The sequence below is a fragment of the Homo sapiens genome, chromosome 2 (assembly GCF_000001405.40).
Source record: "Homo sapiens chromosome 2, GRCh38.p14 Primary Assembly".
Lineage (NCBI taxonomy): Eukaryota > Metazoa > Chordata > Mammalia > Primates > Hominidae > Homo > Homo sapiens.
This window is the reverse complement of record NC_000002.12, coordinates 42,767,008-42,793,012: the sequence shown is the minus strand read 5'-3', so window position 1 is coordinate 42,793,012 and position 26,005 is coordinate 42,767,008. Positions and strand designations below refer to the sequence as shown.

Genomic DNA, 26,005 nt, shown 5'->3' with positions numbered 1-26,005 from the left:
AGGTGCTGGGACTTCCAACCCGCGATCTCCTCACTGTAGTATTTCTGGGAACCTTCCCTGGGATTCCCCTCGGGGCGTAGAGGGAAGGAACGTCTGGGGACAAGCGTCCAGGAAGGGTCTGGATTCTTTGTCCTCCGCCGGGAGCAGGCCCCACCGCAGGCGCCAGTGTGTGGGGCGCCCCGGAGACGGTGGCGGGGACCGAGCCCCTGCCCCGCGGAGAAGCAGAGGGCGCGGGACGCCGTTCCCCAGCGCTGCCGCCGCCGCGCTCGCCAGGGCCTGGAGTGGCGCGGAGGGCGGCGGGCTCAGACCAAAGTCCACCAGGGGGCAAAGTCCGCGGGCCCCAAGCCCCCACCACGGGGTCGCGGGGGTTTGCTCCGCCTCGTGAGCTTGGGATTCTGGTTAAAAAGGCGGCTGGGCGGAGCTGCGGGCCTCCGACGGCGGGAGGACAGCGCTGCGAGGAGGCGCCCGGGACAGTCATGGAGCGCCGCCTGGGAGTGAGGGCCTGGGTGAAGGAGAACCGGGGCTCCTTCCAGCCCCCGGTCTGCAACAAGCTCATGTGAGTCCAGCACCCCCATGGCCGCCCCCTGCCCTCGCCTCCTCCCCCTCCTCCATCTGCGCCCTCACCTTCCAGCTCCGAGTTCCTGGACCCAGAAGCTTGCAGAAGGACCGCTTTAATCTCTTGGTTCTTGGGGGAAGATGGAGACAGGCTGTTCCGGTTCCACCACATCGGTCTGTTCCTCTTTCTTGTGACTGTGGCCTTGACTTCTGAAGAAGGCTGAGCTGGTTCTCAGGCTGTAGGAGATGACATGACAGGGTGCACCTCTCCTTCCAGGGCTGAGAAACAATTCTCCAACCCCAAGTGACACTGTGCATTTTGGGAAAACTCAAAAGTGTGGGGAGGGTGGTTTTCAAGGCAGAAATGCACTAGAATGTAGGCCTGGGGGCAGCCAAATCATACACCCCAACCCTGTCCCAGAAGCCACAGGCAAAGGGGGAGGCAGAGAATCCGCTCCTTTGGGAAGATCTTGATGTCTTGCTTTTTTCAGGGCCCCTCTATGCAGGTGTGCACGAACACACACACACACACACCACACCAGACCCTCCCTAGGCCACCTCTGCCAGTAGCCTCTGCCTGCAGCACCCAACAGGGTTGGCCATCCAGCTGCCATCTTTCTCAGGCAGACCTCTCAGGCCCTCCCCTGTGGTATGGTCACCTCCCTCATCCCCCCAGTTCCATGGCGGGGCCCCACATGCCAGCTAGATCAAGGTTTACATTCCCCATTTTTGCTGTGTCCACAGGACATGGTCAGTAGGGTGGCACCTCAAGGCAAACAGCAGGCCCAGGACTATGCCAAGTGTTTTTACATCATCTCATCTCATTCTCACAGTAGCACCGTGAGGGGGGATTTTCATAAGTAACTTTTCTAGTGTCACGGAGCGCCTGTGCGATAGGCTCCAGACTCAACCCACGGAGCAGTTCGACTCCAGAGTCCACGCACACTCTTGGTTACCATGCAATACCACATGGCCAACAGTCAATATCTCCCCAAAGATCTCTTCTATCACTGTTGTTGCCCACCCCCAATTAAAGATGTAGCATCATCTTTGCCTCCTTCCAACACTTCATCCCCATCTGCAGTCGCTCCTTCTCAGTCCTCCCTTCGCTCCCCCTGAGGTCTCGCGTCCATCTGCCCGGGCCTCTCCCTAGCATTTGGTGGTTTGCTGGCATCATTGGTATTCTTGCTTCTGCTGTACCACGCCCACCTCCACCTTCGTCTTCACAAGGCAGTCTCCTTGTGTGTGTGTCTGTGTCCAAATTTCCCTCTTTTAAAAGAACACCAGACATATTGGATCAGGGGCTCACCCTACTCCAGGATGACCTCATCCTAACCTAACTACATCTCAAGGACCCTATTCCAAATAAGGTCACATTCTGCAGTACTGGGCGTTAGGACTTCAACATATAAATTTTACAGGAGGGGTTACTATTCAGCAAGGTGAGAAGCTGCTGAAGCAAGCAAGGTGAGAAGCTGCTGAAGAGTTCTGGGCAGAGGAGGGGCAGGTCTGGTTTATGCATTCTGACTGATGGGTTGAAAGAATTCTTGAGTGGAGTTGTTTAAGAATTGTCTGTATGTACCTAAATTACATCTCAGTGAAGTTGATTTTAAAAAACAACTTTCAAGCCGGGCGCAGTGGCTCATGCCTGTAATCCCAGCACTTTGGGAGGCTGAGGTGGGTGGATCATTTGGGGTCAGGAGTTCAAGACCAGACTGGCCAACATGGTGAAACCCCGTCTCTGCTAAAAATACAAAAATTACCTGGGCGTGGTGGCACGCGCCTGTAGTCCCAGCTACTCAGGAGGCCGAGGCAGGAGAATTGCTTGAACCCGGGAGGTGGAGGCTGCACTGAGCCGAAGTTGTGCCACTGCATTCCAGCCTGGGTGGCAAGCAAGACTCTATCTGAAAAAAAAAAAAAAAAAACAAACTTTCCAGGTTCCCCAGCACCCCTTAGGCCAAGACCAGACTCCATGGCTGGTCCACCCTCCTGGACCAGCCTTCTCAATCGTTCCCCAAGCTCACCCCCAGTGCTTCTAATCTCAGAGCCTCTGCACCCAGCTCTCCTGTGCACACTCTTCCCCAGTCAAGTTCCTTGCGGCTTCCCTCCCCTCCTTGAAGCTCTATGCAGCTTTAAGTTCTTTAAGCATGGACTGTTCATGACAGCCTTCTCCTGCCCTGCAACCTCATCCACCTTTCCAAACATCAGGTCCACACGTGTGTTTCCGGTTTATTGGGCCCAGCCTCCCAAAAGGGAAGGAAAAGGAAAGAGACTGGCTCTTCCGTCTTGCCTCCATGCCTCCCAGCTGGGCTGGAAAGCAGCCCACAGGACAGGACACTCAGAAAGGACCTGCCAGTCTAGTTTGGGGGCTCAGACCTCCCCCATAGCCCCTCCCCTGCCATCCACACCATCGTCATCCATGCAGGCAGCCTCTAGGCTGCTGTGCCCTGTGTGTACAAATGGTCCCAGACCCAGCGCCTCCCCTTCCCAGAGGAAAGCCCTTGCCCCTGCCCTCTGTGGCAGGGCCACCTGAGAACACCCTGAAGCCCTACACAGACACATTCTGCTGCTTATTCACCCCAGTGTCTGCACCCTGAAAGGGGACCCTGCTGTGGGGATGGGGCAGGCTGTTCTCAGGAGGTGCTGAGGTATTTTTTGCATAAAAAGGTAACACCACACCAACAGCAGAAAGACTGAGGAGTTTGGGAACCCTTTTGTTCCAAACAGCTGACTAGATGCCCCACAGACCCAACGCCAGCGTGGGAGTCAAGGAGCCTGAGACCTGGCTCAGGTTCAGTCATTCCCTGGCTTTGTGACCCTCTCTTGGCTGGCTAAATCGGCTGTAAAATGAGAGGGTTGTATTGAGTTTATTTATTTATTTATTTATTTAAGACAGAGTCTCCCCCTGTTACCCAGGCTGGAGTGCAGTAGCGCAATCTCAGCTCACTGCAACCTCACCTCTCAGGTTCAAGCGATTCTCGTGCTTCAGCCTCCCAGGTAGCTGGGATTACAGGTGCCCACCACCAGGCCTGGCTAATTTTTGTATTTTTAGTAGAGACAGGGTTTCACCATGTTGGCCAGGCTAGTGGCCTCAAGCAATACATCCGCCTCTGCCTCTCAAAGTGCTGGGATTACAGGCATGAGCCACCACGCCCGGCCGGGTTTATTTATTTTATCAAATACTTAAATAGTGCTTACTATATGCTAGGCACCATTCTGAGAGCTTCCAAATATTAATTCATGTATTCTGTTTAAACTCTGTGAGGTAAGAACTGTTCCTCTATTTTACAGATAAGGTTAGTAACATGCCCCAGGGCCTGTGCTTATAAACACATGCCACACTGACTTGACACCGCCTGAGGCCCCTGCTAGATGTCACGGTCTCCTGCATCCACTGAGCCATGCCTCCAGCCAGGGGAGAGTGCAGGGTCCTATAGTCAGACAGCATGGGTGAGTGGCAGGTCAAGGTCGTTTTGCCCCTACACTGCCCCATCCTGGGAAGGGGTCTTCAATTTGCTACTCTCCTGTAATTCGAGATCTTGATCCTGTGATCCTGGTTGATGAAGCCATAGATTCACCACCACATCATTTCCCTTGTTGGGTCAGACGATGTGGGGGGACACACAAACAATGACAGACAGACACACAGACACGATCCCAGACACATAGACACTTAGATGCACGCAGGCATGAACCGGGGATGAGAGTTGGGGAACAGGGACAGTGAGGCCAAAACAGCCCTGCTCCTCTCCCAGGGGCCCTCAGGCTCCCTCCTGGCCCCCACGGGACCCGTGCTCTCTTCACTCCTAGGAGATGGTTTAGAACGTCTCCCCCACTTTGCGCATTGCAGGCACCAGGAGCAGCTCAAAGTCATGTTCATCGGAGGCCCCAACACCAGGAAGGACTATCACATCGAAGAGGGTGAAGAGGTAGGTTTGACTGGTCTCCCTGGATCTAGGCCTGCGGGCAAGGAGCCTGGCCCTAGCGGGAGGGGGCGCTTCCCACTCGAGGCCCAGAGATGATGGACTGGAGAGGGGTGGACATGTGGCTGATGAGTGGAGGGGGCACAGCTGAAATCACAGGGCACGACTGCTGCCTCCAAGCTGGTGGTCAGGCAGTGACGCCTCCACAGCTAGCACCTCTGCTGGGGGAGCCCCAGGAAACAACCCATGCCCTGCGGGTGAGAGGTTTTAGCCATGGGGCATCCTCCCCCTGGATATAGGGGCTGGCCATGTGAAGGGGGACGTCCTGGTCCCCTCCCCACAAACTTGACAGATTCAATTGGTCTCCAAAATGAGATCCTCCCCCGCAGACGGGGGCAAAGTGCAAAAACACCGTGGGTGAGGGCTGGGCTGAGTGGGTGGCAGAGGGAGTTCGAGGGGCTGAGGGAGGAGGAGCTAGTGGCTGAGGGGTAGGCATGGTAGGGAGGTGCCTGGAGCTGAAGGAGGAGTTGGGGCAGGGTGGCCCTTCCTTAACTAGAGGCTGCAAAACCCATTCGTGGCTTGTGGCTGGGGCAGGTGGGAGGGGGAATTTGCCTTGAATCACCTTTTGCACCTTGAAGTTTGGACTGTGCTTCTCTACTACCTACCCCAAAATAAATAAACAAAAGCAAAATTTAAAGAGAAAGGTGTGTCCCCTTAAGGAGAGACACAGAATCTCCTCTGGTGGAAAAGGATCAGTAGAGGGGCTCCCCATCCTCTCAGGGAGCCTCATTCTGGGGGTTCAGGATCCAGAGTCCAGCTTGATCAACAGCCTCTGTCCCCACTGAGGGCATCCAGGCCACAGCCAGGGACTGTGGTGAGCATGGGAGAATCACTTGTTCAATAAATATTTGCTGAGCACCTCATGTGTGCACTGGGACACCCAAGGCTGTGTGGAGGAACGATGGGCCCTGGGCCAGCAGAACCAGCCAACTCCTCACCTCTCACGCTCCAGGGGCCCTGCACCTCCCCTGGCCACCCCCTTCTCACAAACACACCTCACTGGAGACCGTTTCCTTGGTGGAAAAAGTCAATAGGAAAATCTAAAACTATACTGAGGAGGTGGGTAGACCTGGCATGGCTATGGCATGGGAGGCACAGCTGGCTGCGGAGTCTTCCAGAGGCTTCTGCCTTCTCTGTTGGCCCTGGTCTCAGCACCCGCCTCTCCTGTCTCCCTCTGTCTTTGCTTCCCTTCTCGCCCCCTGCTGCCTCTGCTCCATGCCCCATCCCATGGTTTCTCCAAGCTCAGGTGCCTGAGTGTCCCCTGAGGGGCCTGGCCAGCAGCTCACGTCCTGACTCAGATGGCAGCTGAGGGATTGAGTGATAAGGAGAGCTGGCCAGCACAGGTGTCCTCACTCTGGAGGGACGCCCAGGTGTCTGGGAGGAATCTGGCTGGAGGTGGGCTTGTGACAGGGCTTGGTCCCACCCTGCTGAGGTTTTGGTGGCGGGGTGGTGCAGCACTTGGGCAGCCTCAGGGCTGAGGGTCGGCCTCCTCTCTGTCCCTGCCTATCCTCACCCAGCTGGAGCCTGGGGAGACTCCAGGATGCGCTGTGGAAGTGGCGTAACTCAGGGTCCGGGCTCCTCCTGAATAGTGAGAAAAGGGGAGTTGCTCAGACCTGGGTTCAAATCACACCTCTTACCAAACCACACTTTCCTCCTCACTGAGCTCTGCCTCTGCAATAGCGGTCAGGGTACCTCCAGCTCCCTGGCCCGGCTCCCCACTCCCCAGCGCCACCTACCACCTATACTCCACCTACCTCACTCCTTTCTTGGAGCGTGCAGGTGCAGGGGGGCCAGAGGCAGATGAACTTGCATTGGGGGAATTCTCTGCCGCTTACTAACCCCGGGATCTTGGACAGGGCACATCATGTCACCTCTCCAAGCCTGTTTCCATAAGCACATGGGGACAACAGCCCCTGTCTGGTGGAAGAATTCAATGTGCATAGAGTATGTGCACACAGCCTGGTGCAGAGTTGGTGCTTGATATGCATTGTTCCTCTACACCTCTCGCCCTTTCTGCCTGGACTGCCTGAAAGGCCTTTCCAGGTCAGAAAGCCAGATTCTATTCATTATCTGCCTGAGCCAGTACAGTTAATCTTCTAGCCAGCCCCAGGCTCCCAAACATCATTTACTTCCAAACTGAGCATAATTCCTTTAGGATTGCCCACAGCTGTTCAGGATTTTCTGCTGTTCAGTGATCTGTACCTCTGCCCCAGGCCAGGCCTGCCCCTCATCACAGGGAAGACCTCTGAGCAGGGGACAAGAGCGAGAAAATAGAGACAATATCGTATAGCCTGCCCAGTAAGGCAGTAAGGGTTTAAATCTGGCCCAGAGGGTCACTCCGGACTCCCCTCTCCCAACTTTTCCTTTGTCCCTCCTCCCTTCCCTCACTGTGAAAGGTCCCTAGACACACACACACACACACACACACACACACACACACACACACACACACACACACACACACAGAGGCTTCCTCCCAGCTTGGAGAGTGGGGGAGGAGAGCATACTGAAATGCTCCCTATAAGAGAACCTGGTAGGTTTCTTATTATTTGTATTAAATAATGCTTATGGGGTTTTTGTTTGTTCATGTTTGTGTTTGTTTTTGTTTTTTAGAGATGGGGGTCTCACTCTGTCACCCAGGCTGGAGTACAGTGGTGCAATCATAGCTCAGTGCAGCCTCAACTTCTGGGGCTCAAGTGATCCTCCCACCTCAGGCTCCCAGATAGTTAGGACTACAGGCACACATCACCATACTCAGCTAATTTCTTCTAGTTTTTGTAGAGATGGGGTCTCACCATGTTGCCCAGAATGGTCTCCACTCCTGGCCTCAAGTGATCCTCCCATCTCCCAAAGTGCTAGGATTACAGGCATAAGCCTCCACATCCGGCCTATGGGTTTTTTTTTAATAAGGAAAGTAAACATTGTTCCTTGTAGAAAATATGAGAAATATAGAAAGAAAAATCCTTACCTCATTCATAATCCCACCACGCAGAGGGCCGCTGTGAACAGGCTGCCTCTGTTATATTTGTATTGCTACAAACTAAAGCCCTGCTGGGTATAGTTTTGAATCTTTAACGTAACTTTAGCATTTTCCATTTTCCCATTTTATTAACAGCTATTCAAAAACGTAGTTTTTAATGGCTGCATAATGTTCCATATTTTGAATCTACCATCAAATATTTACATTTCTCCTATAATTATATTAGCATTACTTTTGTCATTCTTACCATCATCAATACTAATAGCTAGAGGCTTACTGAGGGCTTACTATGCGCTGAGCACATATGTGTAAAGCATCCCTGGCATCTTCACAGCTACATTTTGAGTAGATAACTGTCATTATGTAGATGAGGAAACTGAGGTACAGAAAGGCTAACTGAATTGACCAAGGGCACACAGCACCCTGGCAGAGCTGAGGGCTTTTAACTATGCACTGCATTGAAAACAGCCTTGAATGTACACCACTAGGCAGGTATGTCTCTGATGAACTGAGGTCTCATTCCTGAGGTAGAATTACTGAGGTCAAGGTTGTGTGGTGACCAGCTATCTGGATTCACCTAGAACTTTCCCAGTTTTAGCACTAAGGGTCCTGCATCCCAATAAACCCCACAGTCCCTCCAGGGGTGTGAACTGCCAAGGCACTTCACGCCCATGGCCAAGTTGCCCTTCAGAAGGGTGGTGACTATTTGTGCCTAGTGGCAGACTGCAGAGCCACATCTCTCTAGGTCCCTCGAGGTCAGCTTGGTTTCTCTTAGTAGATGCTGTTGATAACATTCCTTCAAGTATTTGGCTGGGGCTTTTAACACCCAGGCAATGTGTGACTGGTGGAGAGAAAACCGGTCTGCCTCCTCCTCTTCCTCCCAGTTCCATGGGGTGATCTCAGTAAATTAGGGACTTAGGATGGAATCGGAAAAATGCAGTAGGAACCCCCCCCCCCGCCCCCCCCACCTCCCCCCACCCCCAGGAGAGCACAAGAGGCATATGCTCCCATCCCCCACAGCCCCTAACCCATCCCAGGCTGCCAGCAACCTCCACAGCCCCACCCCTTGCCAAGGTGTCACTCTGGCCAGTGGCTCCAGAGCCACATACGGCCTTGGATCCAAGCTGCGGCTCCAGCTGGAGACTAACCAGCTATGTGACCTTAGGCCAGCTGTTTTACCCTCTGAGCCTTGTTTTTCTTTCTTTGTTTTCTGCTGATTGGGGTTAATGATACCTTTGGAGGTTGCTGTGAAGGTTTCTGGTGGAAAAGTGCCTGGCACAGCCCCTGGCACCCAGTAAATGGGTGGGTTCCCTACCTGACTGCTGGGTCATTCAGTTCCCCAGTGAGCATTTCATCCAGTTCCTGCCCGCCAGCCAGGCAACCACTGTTGCATCCTGGGTACTCTGGTCATCACTTGCATGTCCAAGACATGATCCCATGTGTCCCCGGCACTCCATGGCATGCACCGGGGAGACAGGCCTCAGGACAGAAGTGACGGAGCTGCCCATCAACTCCAAGGCCTTCAGAAAGTTTCTCAGGTTTCCCGGTCAGAATTCAGGGCCTGGGCAGTGGCCAAGGACCTGGAAGAGAAAGTGCGGAGGGTCCAAGCCTCTCTCCTGTCCCACAGGTATTTTACCAGCTGGAGGGAGACATGGTTCTCCGAGTCCTGGAGCAAGGGAAACACCGGGATGTGGTCATTCGGCAGGGAGAGGTGAGGCCGGATCCCAGCAGGGTGGGGAAGAGAAAGGCGGCCACAGCTGGAATCCGCCCTGTCCACTCATCCTGGCCCTGGCTGAGGTCTTGTCCTCCCTACCTTTTCCTGCTCTCCCACACCTTCCCCTGCCAACCTGCCCCTTCCCCATCCTTCCTCTTCCAGGCTGCCCCATCCTCAGCACGGTCCAACATTCCCTCTGGTTCCCTGGTGTAGAGGCTGGGCAGAGAAGAGGGCCCAGGGTAGACAAGCAGTACCCCTTTGCTGCCCGGGGGTCAGCTGGGGATGCCCAGGATGTTGGGGGCGCTAAGGTCTCCATGAGGGATTGCAGCCTCACTGTGCACCTTATCTCTACCACTGCAGATATTCCTCCTGCCTGCCAGGGTGCCCCACTCACCACAGAGGTTTGCCAACACCGTGGGGCTGGTGGTTGAGCGAAGGCGGCTGGAGACCGAGCTAGATGGGCTCAGGTAAATTCTGTCTGGAGGGCTGGGGCAGAGAAAGGGCAAACAGCAGAGGAGCACAGCTCCAAACTGCAGCTGAAGGGATCCTAGATAGACTCAAGAAAGCACGTCCTGGCCACTGAGTGGGCAGGAGGGCCTCACAGCAGAGGCAGTGGAGATCCTGTCTTTGTTGGCTGATGGTGGAGGGGTAGAGTGGGGTGGATTCTGTTCTCTGTGACCCCCTGGAAGCTCACTCAGCCTGATGAACTTTGGCTGGAATCAGAATCTGTGCTTTCTGCGTGAGGTTGTGAACCTTGAAAATTCGAGACAGGTCTCAGTTAATTTAAAAGTTTGTTTTGCCAAGGTTGAGGACGTGTGCCCGTGACACAGCCTCAGGAGGTCCTGATGACATGTGCCCAAAGTCGTAAGAGCACAGCTCGGCTTTATACATTTTAGGGAGACATGAGACACCGATCAATATATGTAAGATAAACATTGGTTCTGTCTGGAAAGGTGAGACAACTCCAAGCAAAGGTGGGAAGACTCAAAGTGGGAAGGGGGCTTCCAGGTCACAGGTAGATAAGAGACAAATGGTTACATTCTTTTGAGTTTCTGATTAGCCTCTCCAAAGGAGGCAATCAGATATGCATTTATGCCAGTGAGCAGAGGGGTAACTTTGCATCGAATGGGGGGCAGGCTTGCCCTAAGCAGTTCCTACCTTGATTTTTCCCTTTAGCCTAGTGATTTTGGGGGCCCAAGATATTTTCCTTTCACATTTCCCCCTTTTCTTTTTTAAAATCTTTTGGAGAAAGCATTTTAGAAGAAATTGAGTCTCTGGTCCCAGGTTTTGTCTGATGTCTCATGGCTAGGATGGTTTATTCCTAGACGGGTAGATCCCAAGTTATTAGGGAAGTTCAGTTTTAGAAAGCTGTGAAGTCTCATGTCTCACAAAGAGAAAATAGGGGGAGGAAGGGAGAAAAACAACAACCAACAGAAGAGCAATCCTGGAAAATCGATATAGACCACATTACTCTGAAGTTCACACATCAGTAGGCAAGTATGAAAGTGGCTTAGGTACGTAAATTGGTTGCTGACATTTTCTTCTGAAGTTTAAGTTGTCAGGCTTCAGTTTTCAGGGCTTTAAGAAAGCACAGCTCAGCTTTCAGTGACTCCAAGTTAGGAAAAACAAACAAAAAAAGAAGTAAAAAAATTGAAAACATTATTTTGAAGACTTGTAGTCAAGAAAAATTAGAATTCAGTCCAAATCACAGAAAAATAATAAAAATTGAAAAACATTAGGCAAGACTAGAATCTAACATCAGGTATACTATAGTTTTCAAAACATAATTTTTCTCTCTCCAGTTTCCCCTTTTTACTAAAGACAAATCATGGTAAGACTGATTTGCTTTATTATACTTGGCCTAATTATTTGTATACAGTGCAGCAAGAATAATTTTTTTTTTTTTGAGACAAAGTTTCACTCTTGTTGCCCAGGCTGGAGTGCAATGGCACGATCTCGGCTCACTGCAACCTCCGCCCCCTGGGTTCAAGTGATTCTCCTGCCTTAACTTCTTGAGTAGTTGGGATTACAGGCACCCGCCACCACACCCGGCTAATTTTTTGAATTTTTAGTAGAAATTGGGTTTCACCATGTTGGCCAGGCTAGTCTCGAACTCCTGACCTCAGGTGACCCATCTGCCTCGGCCTTCCAAAGTGCTAGGATTACAGGCATGAGCCACCACACCTGGCCAAGAATAATTATTTTTTACATAGGCTTTTAAATTGGCTTTGATGGAACTTTGTTCCATAGAAGGAATCTCAGATAAGACCTTTTTTTAAAGCCAAGCCTAGCCATGGATATGTGCTATTGAATACCTATGAGTTGGGTGATCTTCTTGAGGTTCCAAGGTAAACTTGAGGCCTTTGGGCGTGTCAGAGACAGGGTCTTTACTTACCAAAGGTCAGAAACCCTATACAGGGAAGATATGAGGCCAGTTTCCCTAAAGGGTTTTTATTGGCTCCATAAACCAATAAAGGAAAGCACACCATTCCAGTCAAATCCTTGATAAAATAACCAGTTTCTCCAATTGTGTCCTGTTGCAAAATGAAAACAGATTCTTATTGCACTTATGCATATAACTGTATTGCCATAAGTTAAGAATACTCACAAATAGCTTCCAAATTCTGGAGAAATCAGGTAGAGAGAAAAAAATATGCTCCAAATTTTGTTCATGGGAGTATACTAAATTGTTGTGTTTTTTTTTGAGACAGAGTCTTGCTCTGTCGCCCAGGCTGGAGTGCAGTGGCATGATCTCGGCTCACTGCAAGCTCCGCCTCCCAGGTTCACACCATTCTCCTGCCTCAGCCTCCTGAGTAGCTGGGACTACAGGCGCCTGCCACCACGCCCAGCAAATTTTTTTTTTTTTTTTGTATTTTTAGTAGAGACAGGGTTTCACCATGTTAGCCAGGATGGTCTCGCTCTCCTGACCTCGTAATCCACCCGCCTTGGCCTCCCAAAGTGCTGGGATTATAGGCATGAGCCACCACGCCCGGCCGGGAGTATTAAATTGTTAAAAGCTGTCAATAGCACACACAAAAAAGTTTCCTTGACTCTGAAAAAAAACAAAATAAAACAAAGGATCAGCAACATTTAAAGCAAAAGTAAAAAAGATTACTTTAGTCTTCTATGAGTTCAGTTTACTTAGTTTACTCCTGTTCTGCTTGATACTCATGAACATTTCAGCTCTCCATGAGAGTCCTGAAAGTTTTTCTTCTCTATTCTAATGTCACAATCTCCAAAGTTATCAGAAACCTGCACTTAAGAACACCTGTGTTCGCCGGGCGCGGTGGCTCACGCCTGTAATCCCAGCACTTTGGGAAGCCGAGGCGGGTGGATCACGAGGTCAAGAGATCGAGACCATTCTGGCCAACATGTTGAAACCCCATCTCTACTAAAAGTACAAAAATTAGCTGGGCATGGTGGCATGTGCCTGTACTCTGAGCTACTCAGGAGGCTGAGGCAGGAGAATCACTTGAACCTGGGAGGCGGAGGTTGCAGTGAGCCGAGATTGCACCGCTGCACTCCAGCCTGGCAACAGAGCGAGACTCCATCTTAAAAAAAAAAAAAAATTAAAAAAAAAGAACACCTGTGTTCTAGAGCTGATTATAAAGCCACCTCCTAAAGAGAACCAAAACAGGACAATTTTCTGTGAATGACAAAAAGTTTTAAGGCAGCCATAGTCAAAGACGCAGTTGGCAAGGAAATTTGTTACCTCTGTGGCACACAATAATTTAATATAATTATGATTATTACTGATGATGTACACTAAGTTTTATCAGGATTATAGGAGTTTCCCATAATTTTGGAATACATACCAATAATATATTTATACAAATACAGCCTAAAGAAAACCAAACACCATTTCATATTTGGCAATGCTTCCTGTATAATTTTTATACCAAGTAAGCCAAACTATGTCATTTTGGGACTTTAGGGAACCCAATATCTTAACAGATTAATTAGGTCAGAAAAAGACATAATTTATCATTTGATTTTGGAAAGTTTGTCAAATATCAAAGGTTTAAAACTCTTGATATCACAATATAGGATCATTCATTTAACCAAAGTAATAACTCAAGGATTTCAAAAAAGGTGAAAACCTTCATTCTTTGAGAAGAGACTTAATGTTCCAAACAATAAGCTCTAATAAAAATAGCATGAAGCTGGGCGCGGTGGCTCACGCCTGAAATCCCAGCACTTTGGAAGGCCGAGGTGGGGGGATCACGAGGTCAAGAGTTCAAGACCAGCCTGACCAACATGGTGAAACCCCGCCTCTACCAAAAATACAAAAATTAGCTGGGTGTGGTGGTGTGCACCTGTAATCCCAGCTACTCAGGAGGCTGAGGCAGGAGAACTGCTTGAACCCGGGAGGCGGAGGTTGCAATGAGCCAAGATCGCACCACTGCACTCCAGACTCGGCAACAGTGAGACTCTGTCTCAAAAAAAAAAATAGCATGAACCCAATTAACTATAGTTTTCAAAATTATATCTTGACCATAAGATATAATTTCCATAAACCTTTCATAACCTATATTTAGGAGTCAGTTAATGCTTCAATAAAACCTTTTTAATCTGACACAGGGGCCCATATGCTGGTCTTGCATCAGTGTACCTTTGACATTAATGACTAATTTATAGAGAAACTGAACTTATTTATTTATTTATTTGAGATGGAATTTTGCTCTTGTTGCGCAGGCTGGAGTGCAATGGTGTGATCTCAGCTCACTGCAATCTCCACCTCCCGGGTCCAGGTGATTCTCCTGCCTCAGCCTCCCAAGTAGCTGGGATTACAGACATGTGCCACCATGCCTGGCTAATTTTGTATTTCTAGTAGAGACAAGGTTTCACCATGTTAGTCAAGCTGGTCTCGAACTCCTGACCTTACATGATCCACCCACCCCAGCCTCCCAAAGTGCTGGAATTAGAGGCGTGAGCCACCACCACACCCAGCGAGAAACTGAACTTATTTTATCTCTCAAAATTGGTCCTTACAGTCTCCCATGCCCATCTCTTACATGATAGTCCCTGGGCCTTGAGGAGCTTTAATTTCTGTCCCTGTGTTTCAGGAATGCAGTTTATTTTGATTGGCATCTTCTACTGGGCCTGAAGATGGGGCTTTAATTGCTGTCAGTGTTTAAAGTTTAGCAGGACTTGGTCAGGCACAGTGACTCACGCCTGTAATTCCAGCACTTTGGGAGGCCGAGACAGGCAAATCATGAGGTCAGAGTTTCAGACCAGCCTGGCCAACATGGTGAAACCTCATCTCTACTAAAAATACAAAAAATTAGCTGGGCATGGTGACAGGCACCTGTAATCCCAGCTACTCAGGAGGCTGAGGCAGAAGAATTGTTTGAACCTGGGAGGTGGAGGGTTGCAGTGAGCCAAGATCATGCCACTGTGCTCCAGCCCAGGCAACAGTGCAAGACTCCATGTCAAAAAAAAAAATTAGCAGGACCTGGTGTCCTTTTTAGACCCAGGAGTCAAAGCCCTGTAACTTAATGTCACAAGGACATTAAAAGCACATACAGAGAGATACACAGATGTAATAACCTTAACTTTTGAAAAAATTTAATCTCAGTTTTTTTCCTAAGCAACCGAAAACTTAATAATAATGTGATAACTTGATCATATAAAAGTTTTTGGGTTTTTTTTTTAAATAAATCCTCTTATTGTGACTTACACAGACCATTCATGCTATGCTTAGACTTTCTGGTTTGTCCTGAACATCCCTCCTTCTTCAACAACCAGTCATTTTACTCTACAACTAAATTTACCATACAAGAGTCTTTCTCATATGAAATTATGTCTCTTTAAGCTTTCTTACCACAAAAAACCTCTTTGTTTTTATGACTTTCTTTACATGTCTTTTATTTCCTGCTTCCTTTTACCTTGTTTTATACATGACCTTTAAATAAGCCTTAAATTAGATAAAATGGTTCACTTTTTTTAAAAGGACACACCTTTTTTTTTAGAAAGAATGTTTTCCTACAAATATATTTTTATTGGAAAGTACCCAAATAATGAAATATCTATTATTTAATTTAACTTTAGATTCTAAATTATGACAAGTTTGTCTACAAGTATTTATCCTATTGCATTTACATAATTATTTTAATCATTTACTTAGATTATTTCTAAAAATTGTGATTGTCATTATTTAAAGTTATGGAACCACCATTGCAAAATTATAACTGAGACAGTGAAAATGATTTGACCTAACTGATTCCATCTTGCTTCTAACCTCCAAGCTCTCCTTGTTCATAGGCTGAACTAACTTTGAGAGGCACTTAGTTTAGTTAATTAGAGCCCCTTTTTATATTTTCAGCAGTGAAACATTGTGTACACAACACATAGATAGACGTCTTAGGCATGCTAATAGAAGTGCATCTTATAGATTCATAGCAACTTTTTTTTCCTATCTTAGACTTTCACATTCTTTTTCTTCTTTTCTTTCTTCTTTTTTTTTTTTTTTTTTTTGCGATAAGAGTCTTGCTCTGTCACCTGAGCTGGAGTGCAGTGGCACAATCTTGGCTCACTGCGACTTCTGCCTCTCAGGTTCAAGCGATCCTCCTGCCTCAGCCTCCCAAGTAGCTGGGATTGCAGGCGCCCACAACCACACCCAGCTAATTTTTTGTATTTTTAGTAGAGACAGGATTTCACCATGTTGGCCAGGCTGGTCTCAAACCCCTGATCTCAGGTGATCAACCCACCTCGGCCTCCCAAAGTGCTGGGATTACAGGTGTGAGCCACCATGCCCGGTCAGACTTTCAGATTCTTGATAACCTGTTTTACAACCACAGGCAGTTGTCAGCTAAATAGCCTTAAAGTTGCATATTAAAGGAAACAACTCGCCGGACACGGTGGCTCAGGCCTGTAATCCCAGCACTTTGGGAGGCTGAGGTAGGCGGATCATGAGGTCAGGAGTTCAATAGCCACCTGGCCAAGATAGTGAAACCCCGTCTCTACTAAAAATACAAAAAAATTAGCTGGGCGTGGTGGCAGGCGCCTGCAATCCCAGCTATTCAGGAGGCTGAGGCAGAGAATTGCTTGAACCCAAGAGGCGGAAGTTGCAGTGAGCCAAGATCACGCCACTGCACTCCAGCCTGAGTGACAGAGTGAGACTCCATCTCAAAAAAAAAAAAAAAAAGGAAACAACTCAGGTGAAAAATCAAATAACAAAATTTCCATCATAAGGTACAGAGAGAAGTCGGATGGTGCTAGAGGGAGATTAAAGATGGATGCTGGCTGGGCATGGTGGCTCATGCCTATAATCCCAGCACTTTGGGAGGCAGAGGCAGGCGGATCATCTGAGGTCAGGAGTTTGAGACCAGCGTGACCAACGTGGAGAAACCCCATCTCTACTAAAAATGCAAAATTAGCCAGGTGTGGTGGCACATACCTGTAATCTCAGCTACTAGGGAAGCTGAGCAGGAGAATCTCTTGAACCCAGGAGGCAGAGGTTGCAGTGAGTCGAGATCATACCATTGCATTCCAGCCTGGGCAACAAGAGTGAAACTCTGTCTCAAAAAAAAAAAAAAAAAAAAAAAAAGATGGATGCCAAGTCAAACATAAAATTACAGAAATCTATCACAGGATTGTATAAGGATACCAATTTTATTTAGATAGGGACCACCTATCTTTTAACTAGATCTCTGAGCTCTGGGCAAAGTCCACACCGAATCCTGGGTCTCCAAAAAGGGAGAATTATTATGAGCTTAGACCACGTGATGCTTTTACAGTGCACTTTAAAAAAAGTTTTTTTTAAACAAAGACATTTCTAAGTATCTAAACCACACTCTTCCACATTTGATCTTAGCCAAAGGCCCAGAAGCGATAAAACCACACTCTTCCTTAAAAACTCAAGAGTAAGAGTAACCTCAGTTACAATAACTATTTTAGTAAAAAAAAAAAAAAAAAAAGGATAACACAATATAAAAGTAAGCAGTTTAACAGCTGAGACCATTTATCTTTTTACATTCTTGGGGTTCCACAAGGAAAAACAGATTTCTCCCCCAAAAGGAGTCTAGTGCCTTCTTCATTTTCTTTAAGAAACCCCAGGCTACTATAAACTATTTTAGGTCCCTCATGCAGCAGAGGGTGCAGGAGAAAGGAGAGACAGCAGAAGTAAATGAAGAAAACAGAATTCAGTCAACTGAGAAGAAAAAAACTTTTGCTCAAAAAAAAAAGACAAGGTCCTAGGAGAAAAACAAAAACAAAAACATGAAAGTTAAATACACACACACACACACACCCCTTGGATGTTAGCTTTTAATTAAGCTGACTTTTAACCATTGAGCTCCTTTAAAAAAATCTTTTTAAATCTCATTACCGTATTTCAGCTGGAAAAAAATGCTGCTGTTTCAGAAGTACAGCCATTGCTCTTTCAGTTTTGCCTGGCTAGCAAAAGTGGCCTTGTTTATGTAAATCAAGCCCCTTAGCAGTCAAAATACAAAATCTTTCATCTTTCTTTTCTCCTTTTACTGGCCTTTTTTCTCCCCCCACCAGACAACCTTTTTTTTTTTTTTTTTTTTTTTCCATGACAGTCTTACTCTGTCACCCAGGCTGAAGTGTAGTGGTGCAATCTCGGCTCACTGCAACCTCTGCCTCCTGGGTTCAAGCAATTCTCCTGCCTCAGCCTCCTGAATAGCTGGAATTACAGGTGCGCGCCACTGCGCCCAGCTAATTTTTGTATTTTTAGTAGAGACGGGGTTTCACCACGTTGGTCAGGCTAGTCTGGAACTCCTGACTTCATGATCTGCCCACCTCGGCCTCCCAAAGTGCTGGGATTACAGGTGTGAGCCACTGTGCCCGGCCCTTTTCGTGTGTGTGTGTGTTGGTGGGGAGGGACGGGAAATTTAGCCACTCTAGAGGCCTTGTTTCCCATAATTTGGAACTTCTTTAGGATTTTATCAAGTCAGGTAGAGCTGATCAAACCCAATGGGAAAAAGAATGAAACAACAACAAAACAGAAACAAACAGCAACAACAACAACAAACAGTGAAGCAAAACAAACAATCGCGCAGCTTCTATGATCACTGAGCGCTCTAATGGGAAGGAGAAATTAAGAGCACCTGATTGTTAACTTTAGCCAAAACAAACCCCCAGTTCAGCTACTTACCTAGGGATGGGTCTCAGGCTCAAGACAACTCTCTACCATCCTAGAAGCAGGAAAAAAACCTCCTTTTCCCTATTGGATGCAAGCTCAAATTCCATAAAGGAGTTACCTGCCTTCCATTGTCATGGAAGCAGGAAAACTTGCCTTCCTTGTTGGAAACAAGTAAAACTCCAAAAAAAAGGGAGTTGTACAGCAAAATAAACTTTAGATCTCAACCAAATTTGGGGAGATCAGGGATTCTCTAGAGGGGGTGCTCCCACACCTCAGCAAATTGTCCTATTGGTTTGAGCCATAAAGTTAGCTCACGCGGGTACCAAGCACCCTTAGGAGATTTGTCTAAGGTCAGGGGCACCTCCACTCAGAATGCCTCTGTGGTTATCAAAATGTCAACTCCAAAAATTTGAGACAGGTCTCAGTTAATTTAGCAAGTTTATTTTGCCAAGGTTGAGGATGCACGCTCGTGACACAGCCTCAGGAGGTCCTGTTGACGTGTGCCCAAGAGAGTCAGAGCACAGCTTGGTTTTATACATTTTAGGGGGACAAGAGACATCAATTAACATATGTAAGATGAACATTGGTTCAGTCTGGAAAGGCAGGACAACTCAAAGCAAAAGCAGGATGACTCAAAGCAGGGAGGGGGCTTCTAGGTCATAGGTAGAAAAGAGACAAATGGTTGCATTCTTTTGAGTTTCCGATTAGTCTCTCCAGAGGAGGCAATCAGATATGCATTTATCTCAGTGAGCAGAGGGGCACTTTGAATACAATGGGGGGCAGGTAGCCGGGCGCAGTGGCACACGCTTGTAATCCCAGCACTTCGGGAGGCCGAGGCGGGTGGATCACGAGGTCAGGAGATCGAGAGAGACCATCCTGGCTAACATGGTGAAACCCCATTTCTACTAAAAATACAAAAAATTAGTCGGGCGTGGTGGCGGGCGCCTGTATTCCCAGCTACTTGGGAGGCTGGGGCAGGAGAATGGCATGAACCCAGGAGACAGAGCTTGCAGTGAGCCAAGATCGCGCCAGTGCGCTCCAGCCTGGGTGACAGAGTGAGACTCCGTCTCAAAAAAAAAAAAAAAAAAAAATAGGGGGTAGGTTTGCCCTAAGCAGTTCTCAGCTTGACATTTCCCTTAATTTAGTGATTTCGGGGCCCAAGATATTTTCCTTTCACAAGGTCTTCTGGGAGGGGTGAGATGTGGAAAGCGGGCCAGAGGGGTTCCAAAGTCACACCCACCTCCCCCAGTGCAGCCAGAACTGCTGCTTCCCCCCAGAATTTAGAATCACGGCCAGTGCCTCCCTCGGCTTGTTTCTCTACCCCAGCTCATTCCACAACACACACTGACATCTGGATGGCACTTGCTATGTGCCAGATGCCTGGCTAAGGTCTTTGCATGTATTTATTCATTGAATCTTCCCAGCGATCCTATGGGGGAGGTGCTGTTATCATTACAAAGAAGTTAAAGTTGCTAAAGTGTTACTTGCTAGATCTGGCATTATAGAGAAATATGGAGTTAGGGCCAGGACAGTATAGAGAGGAGTGGGAGTCAACACCAAAGAGGGGAAGAAAATAGGCCCCGCTGTCAGCATTCTGATTCCATGGCCGGGGTTCTCATTTGGTTCTGATCAGTCACCCAATTCTTTTCCTCTGAAAGGAGGAAGCAACCTATTGCTCAGGGAAATAGATTTTCCAAAAGCTCAACAGTGTTTGGTTGGGTTTTTTTTTTTTTTTTTTTTTGATATGGGGGCTCACTCTATCTATCACCCACGCTGGAATGCAGTGGCGTGATCATTATTTGTTGTATTTTTTAACTAAAAAAAATTCAAGTTTCCCATCAGGTCACCAGGAACAGGATACTTTGGCCTACATCTTTTGTTATAATAGGCATTTTTAAAATACGTGTTGTTTTTCTGATTATCAAAGTCATACACATTCATTCTCAAAATCTGGAAAAGTACAGGAATGCAAAGTGAACAAAATTAAAATTACTTGTTACTAAAAGGATAAATTTGATGGTATGTGAATTATATCTCAAGAAAACAAAATAATAAAAAAGGGAAAACAAAAAAAATTGTCCTGTCACCAATGAAACCTAATGAAACCTAAACTTCCATCTTGTCTTATTTCTATGCTTACCTATATCTTTTTTTACTTAAAAGAAACTCATGAGTATTCTTTTTTTTTTTTTTTGAGATGGAGTCTTGCTCTGTCACCCAGGCTGGAGTGCAGTGGTACAATCTCGGCTCACTGCAACCTCTGCCTCCCGGGTTCAAGCAATCCTCCTGCCTCAGCCTCCTGAGTAGCTGGGATTACAGACATGCACCACCATGTCTGGCTAATTTTTGTATTTTTAGTAGAGACGAGGTTTCACCATGTTGGCCAGGCTGGTCTCGAACTGCCAACCTCAGGTGATCCACCCACCTCGGCCTCCCAAAGTGCTGGGATTACAGTTGTGAGCCACCACATTCGGCCGAGTATTTCTTACACTATTAAATCTTTTCAAAAAACACAATGGCTGCATAATCATTTACTGTGTAACAGTCTGTTGTAGAGACAGACACGTGGTCTTATCTTCTAGAAAAAATTTGTCACAAGGGACTTTAATATAGTGAGTCTGATGGAGAGGATGGTGTCCTCAATATCATTTTACAGCAAATTCAATAACACATTTCATCTGGCTGCTTTTGACCTTTAATAAAAGCCAGGGACTCAACATTAAAATGCCACTCCAAAGGCAGTTCCCGGAGGGCACTGCCATCCAGTTATGAAGCTTTCTGGTGGCCAGCTCCATCCCAGGATAGGATTTAGGCTGCCAAGTGGGTGGATGCACTGTGTGTCTGTAAAGCATCTCCCACCAGCGGGACCACATCTCTTTTAAGAGCAGACAGAGCTGGCCTGGGCCCAGGAGCTGGGCTTGGGCATTAGGCATTCAGTTAACAGGCGTTCCTGGCACCCACCATGTGCAGCACCCACAGGGGCCTGGGGCCCATCCCAGCCTGCCAGGTGCTCCTCAGGCCGGGGGAGGAGCTCACTGAGCCAGGCTGGGGGCTGGGGTGGGCTTTAGGGGTCTACTGAAGGCTATATGTACATGTACATGGGCCTTACCCCAGAAAAGAGGTCCAAAACTTTGCTCCAACTCTCAAAGGCAATCATGACCCTGAAAGAAGAAGAACCCCTAAACTGGGGGACATCTTCTGCGTGTTGGCTTCTTTTTTTTTTTTTTTTTACTTATTTATTTACTTTTGAGACAGAGTCTTGTTCTGTCACCCAGGCTGGAATGCGGCGGTGCAATCTTGGCTCACTGCAACCTCCGCTTCCCGGTTCAAGCAATTCTCCTGCCTCGGCCTCCCAAGTAGCTGGGATTACAGTCCCCTGCCAGCATGCCTGGCTATTTTTTTTCTATCTTTTGTTATGCCTGGCTATTTTTTGTATTTATTTATTATTATTATTATTTTTAGTAGAGACAGGGTTTCACCATGTTGGCCAGGCTGGTCTTGAACTCCTGACCTCAAGTAATCTACCCGTCTCAGCCTCCCAAAGTGCTGGGATTACAGGCGTGAGCCACTGCGCCCGGCCATGTTGGTTTCTTAAGTGTCCGTGCACTCAGGCCTAGAGCACTGCAGGCCAGCAGAGCGTCCAGCCACTGGCCCTGGTTTCAGGCTCAGCCTCAGCTTCCTCTTTGCGAAAAACAAAAGAACTGCGATTAGATGCTCTCTAAGTTTTTAAGATTGTCTTGAGACTGGCCTGCTTCCGCCACTTACAGGCTGTGTAATCCTTGGCAAATTGCTCAGCTTCTGTGAGTCTCAGAGTTCTATCTGCTTTGTCTAGTTTTGGGAACCAGTTTGGGTCTAGTTTTGGGAACCGGAGAGAGCCGTGTGAATTCTCGGGATAGTAGCCCTCTCAGGGGGCGCACGTGTGCTTCTGAAGAGCAAGGTGTTAAGTGACCAGTGACCACTAGGGTGTGTAACAGGGGTGAGCAGACAGCAGGGCTCTGCAGGGACTTCTACAAGCAGAGCCAGGCCTGAGTGGGGCTGCCCTGAAGCCACCCAGATGGGGACAGCAGGGTTGCCTGTCCTCTGCTCTGGCAGGTACTATGTGGGCGACACCATGGACGTTCTGTTTGAGAAGTGGTTCTACTGCAAGGACCTCGGCACGCAGTTGGCCCCCATCATCCAGGAGTGAGCCCCCAGCCCAGCCCCTGCCTCTTGCTTTCCTGGGGCTCTGCATCAGCACCTGATGCCCTGGGAGAAAGTCTCCCCTCCCAGGGTGGAGATCCTGGCCCAGAGAGCCCACTGCCAGGCCGGGGGGAGGGGGGAGCAGCAGCCCCGCTGGGAGGGAAAGGATGGCAGACACACAGCTGTGTGAGAGCCCCATGAGTGTGTGTGGGCACCTGCACCTGACCGTGAGTGTGGTGTATGTGTGTGTCGCTGGCCACTCCGATGGGAGTGCTCGCCACTCCTGCTCCTCCCTGTTCGTCCTTGCAGGTTCTTCAGCTCTGAGCAGTACAGAACAGGAAAGCCCATCCCTGGTGAGGCCGCTGGGAACTGCCCTTCTCCTTCCCTCCCTCCCCTTCCAAAATAGGATGGGTTTTGGTCCAGGGGACCGGGGAGTCTCTTTTTGAATACTCTGCCCAGTCCTCAAGGTACTAAGAAGATGGCAGCCAATGGTACCTCCCACATGGCTGCTTGATCATTGAGCTGGATACAGAGCCTGTTCTGGCAATTGAGACCTGGGGCCCCTGGGAACTGGGCCCACTGGGGCTGGGTGGGCTGGGTCCTGAGGACACCGACTATAGTCATGCTGTGGGTGCAGACCAGCTGCTCAAGGAGCCACCATTCCCTCTGAGCACACGATCCATCATGGAGCCCATGTCCCTGGATGCCTGGCTGGACAGCCACCACAGGGAGCTGCAGGCAGGCACACCACTCAGCCTGTTTGGGGACACCTATGAGACCCAGGTAATGTAGTCCTGGGGCATCCGGGGCATCCTCCCACAGCAGCCCTGGAAAATGGGAACCAGTCTCTCTCTCACTGCCTCTCTCTCTCTCTCTTTCACACACACACTCACACACACACACACACACACACACACACACACACATTTCAGAGGTTGTAGACATGAGCATAGGCCTTTGTGCTCCCTCCCTGACGCAGAAGGCGATGGCTCTGCTCCGAGTGAAGTCTGTGGAGGCTACATGGTCCCAAGCAATTTTATGATCTGAATTCACTTTCAGAGTTGGAGGTTCCCCCACTCACTGGCAGCTTCCTGAGGGTCTGCAGTTTTCCCCTCGCTAGGAATTCCTGAACCTTCAGCCAGTCACACCCTTGGAAGCCAAAAGGGAGAGAGTTGTTTGGGAGTGAGGGTTGGGTGGAGAGAGGGATTCAAACAAGGCTGACTTTCTTTCATTCCACATTTATTAAATGCCTGTTATGTTTCAGGCTTTAGTGGGAGAGTAGGATAGAGTTGCTACCTTAAAGAATGTATAGTTTGTTAAAGAGATGGACAAGTTAATCAACAATTGCCACAATCATGTGATAAAGTATCAGATAGAAAAGCTATAGGAAGCTATAGAAGGATAAAGGAGGAACCCACTCTGAAAGGGAAGTCAAGGAAGGCTTCCTGGAGGAGGTGACATGCACATTGCATTTTAAAGCTAGTGTAGGAGTTTGTAAAAGAAAGAAAGGGAGGTGGAGAGAGCATTCTAGGTGAGGGAGAAGCATGAGCATGAGCTGTTTCAGGCTTGAAACAGCCTGGCACTGGGAGCAGCCGAAGTTGGCCAGAGGCGGGGCTTGGGGGTGGGGGTACAAGTGTGACTGGTGGACTGTGGAGCAGCAGGCAGGGCCCAGGTCCTGGTAGGTCTGCTGGGCTAGGCAAGGTGGGAGGACTTGTCCTAAAGACAACAGCCCTCCACCAAAGTATTGAAGCAGGGGAGTGACAGGCCAGAGTGGTGTTTCTGTACCACGTGTGGGAACAAGGCTGGGAGGGCAAGAGTGGTGCAGGGAGACCTGTGTTCACTTGTGCTTTACGGCTTGCCACTGGCACATCCCATGGGCTTTGAATGAGTCAATCTGTGCAGGGATGCTCATGGCCACAGGCTTCCCGTAGAGGCCTGGCCTGCTGCTCTTGGGTACCAGGGACGTCCTGAGCTTACACAGGGCTGCGAGAACATGCGCACATGTCACAGCAGTACCACTCAGCCCTGCACCCCACCTCTGCAATACCCTGCTCTTACCTGCTTCAGTTTACATTAATGAATATGCACCCTCTCCAGGGCATCAGCAGCACGGCCCTGCACAGTAGCTGTGTGCTTCCAGGCTGGTGCATGTCAGAGAGCCCTCAGCCTCACCTTCCTTGTCCCCTCCTCCTCCTGAGGCCAGACTCATAACCTCTCTCAGAGAAAGGGAGGTGGCACCCTCTGGGAAGCTGATGGAAATGCGTCCCTCATGTGCCCTGGTGAGCATGCCTTCGCATGAGCACACATCAGAGGGACCACGGGTGCACTGCACGTGAAAGGCAGGCATGTGTGATCCCAAATACCTGTTGCAGCGGCGGGCACAGGGAGGCCTGCAGCCCAGGCAGCCCTCCTCTCCAAGTCCTGGTCTCTGCTCAGCACATGGTGATGGGGCTGTTTCATGGGCCCCAACCCTGCTCCAAGCAGGCCTGGTGTCTGGGGGCCAGGTTCAAGACCATCTCCCATGTGGGGCAAGAAGCACCAGAAGTTTCTGTTTCACCTCCCACCAGGTGATCGCCTATGGGCAAGGCAGCAGCGAAGGCCTGAGACAGAATGTGGACGTGTGGCTGTGGCAGCTGGCAAGTGGGGCCCAGGGACAGGGTTGCAGAACCCCCTGCCAGAGGGCATCAGCCCGCTCCTCGGCCCTGGGCTCCCACACGGGGCCCACTCTTGGGGCCTTGGGGCCCAGGCAGACTCAGACATTCACCCAGGTGATGAGGCCCAACAGTCTCCATTTGATTCTCCTGCTCCTCTTCTCCAGGAGGGCTCCTCGGTGGTGACAATGGGGGGACGGCGCCTGAGCCTGGCCCCTGATGACAGCCTCCTGGTGCTAGCTGGGACCTCGTGAGTACGCAGGGAGGGCTTTCCCTGGGATCCTCAGGGTCCAACTCTGTGTGATCCCTGCTCATCTGTGTGTCCACAGGTATGCCTGGGAGCGAACACAAGGCTCTGTGGCCCTGTCTGTGACCCAGGACCCTGCCTGCAAGAAGCCCCTGGGGTGACCCTCTTGCCATGGCCTGAAGCAGCCACAGGTGTGCCAAGCACCCTCGAGTGCCATCCCTGCCAAACAACTCTCCCAGCCCCCACTACCTCTCTGTGTACTGCCGCTGTGTCCCCCACAGACCTGCACATTGTTGTCACCCACCCTCCTGCCCTTCTCAGCCCAGATGCCATGCCCCTGGGCGGGCAGCAGCTCCCCATCTTCTCTGGCAGACTCAGCCCACTGCCTTGCCAGTCTTGCCAGGTGGTCTACCCCCGGCCCCGCTCCTGCCCATTCCTCTGTCCCTGCAGACTCAGTGCAGCACTTCCACACCAAGAAGGCCCTCAATAAAGGCTTCCTGAGGAACGCACACCTGGGGGTCTGCCGCAGGCAGTCATCACTGGCCTTCCCATGTGCCCCCCAGGACCATGTGGTGTGTCTGGGGCATCAG

At 49.3% G+C, this 26,005-nt stretch overlaps 1 protein-coding gene across 3 annotated transcripts, besides 2 other annotated features; it reads left to right on the top strand.

Annotated features, from left to right (window-relative positions):
* Positions 144–583: a silencer, noted in NCBI's record as "silent region_11411". NCBI's record gives its function as "represses an Ori minimal core promoter by ATAC-STARR-seq in GM12878 lymphoblastoid cells {active_cell/tissue: GM12878}" and the evidence as "EXISTENCE:reporter gene assay evidence [ECO:0000049][PMID:35858748]".
* HAAO (3-hydroxyanthranilate 3,4-dioxygenase) lies at positions 430–25,924 on the top strand. Of its 3 annotated transcripts, XM_011532730.4 has the most exons (11): positions 430–556; positions 3,847–4,005; positions 4,406–4,484; positions 9,146–9,229; positions 9,593–9,699; positions 22,431–22,520; positions 22,827–22,870; positions 23,155–23,300; positions 25,085–25,153; positions 25,336–25,418; positions 25,498–25,924. In XM_011532730.4, exons 3-11 carry the CDS (start codon positions 4,428–4,430, stop codon positions 25,574–25,576), a joined length of 759 nt encoding a protein of 252 aa, XP_011531032.1. In that variant the 5' UTR covers positions 430–556; positions 3,847–4,005; positions 4,406–4,427; the 3' UTR covers positions 25,577–25,924. The 3 variants fall into 3 exon arrangements, with proteins under 3 accessions (XP_011531032.1, NP_036337.2, XP_011531031.1); NM_012205.3 differs by lacking the exon at positions 3,847–4,005; XM_011532729.4 differs by lacking the exons at positions 3,847–4,005; positions 22,431–22,520.
* Positions 24,690–25,595: an enhancer, noted in NCBI's record as "H3K4me1 hESC enhancer chr2:42994558-42995463 (GRCh37/hg19 assembly coordinates)". NCBI's record gives its function as "activates a minimal SCP1, AML or CMV promoter by ChIP-STARR-seq in naive H9 embryonic stem cells {active_cell/tissue: H9 hESC(naive)}" and the evidence as "EXISTENCE:reporter gene assay evidence [ECO:0000049][PMID:30033119]".
* Positions 25,925–26,005: the final 81 nt, after the last annotated feature.

Excerpts from the sequence above, each read along its gene's own strand:
- HAAO (NM_012205.3), top strand. The coding sequence starts at position 477 with ATGGAGCGCCGCCTGGGAGTGAGGGCCTGGGTGAAGGAGAACCGGGGC. Across the intron at positions 22,521-22,826 it reads TTGGCCCCCATCATCCAGGA|GTTCTTCAGCTCTGAGCAGT; the intron begins GTGAGCCCCCAG and ends TCGTCCTTGCAG. Across the intron at positions 23,301-25,084 it reads GGGACACCTATGAGACCCAG|GTGATCGCCTATGGGCAAGG; the intron begins GTAATGTAGTCC and ends ACCTCCCACCAG.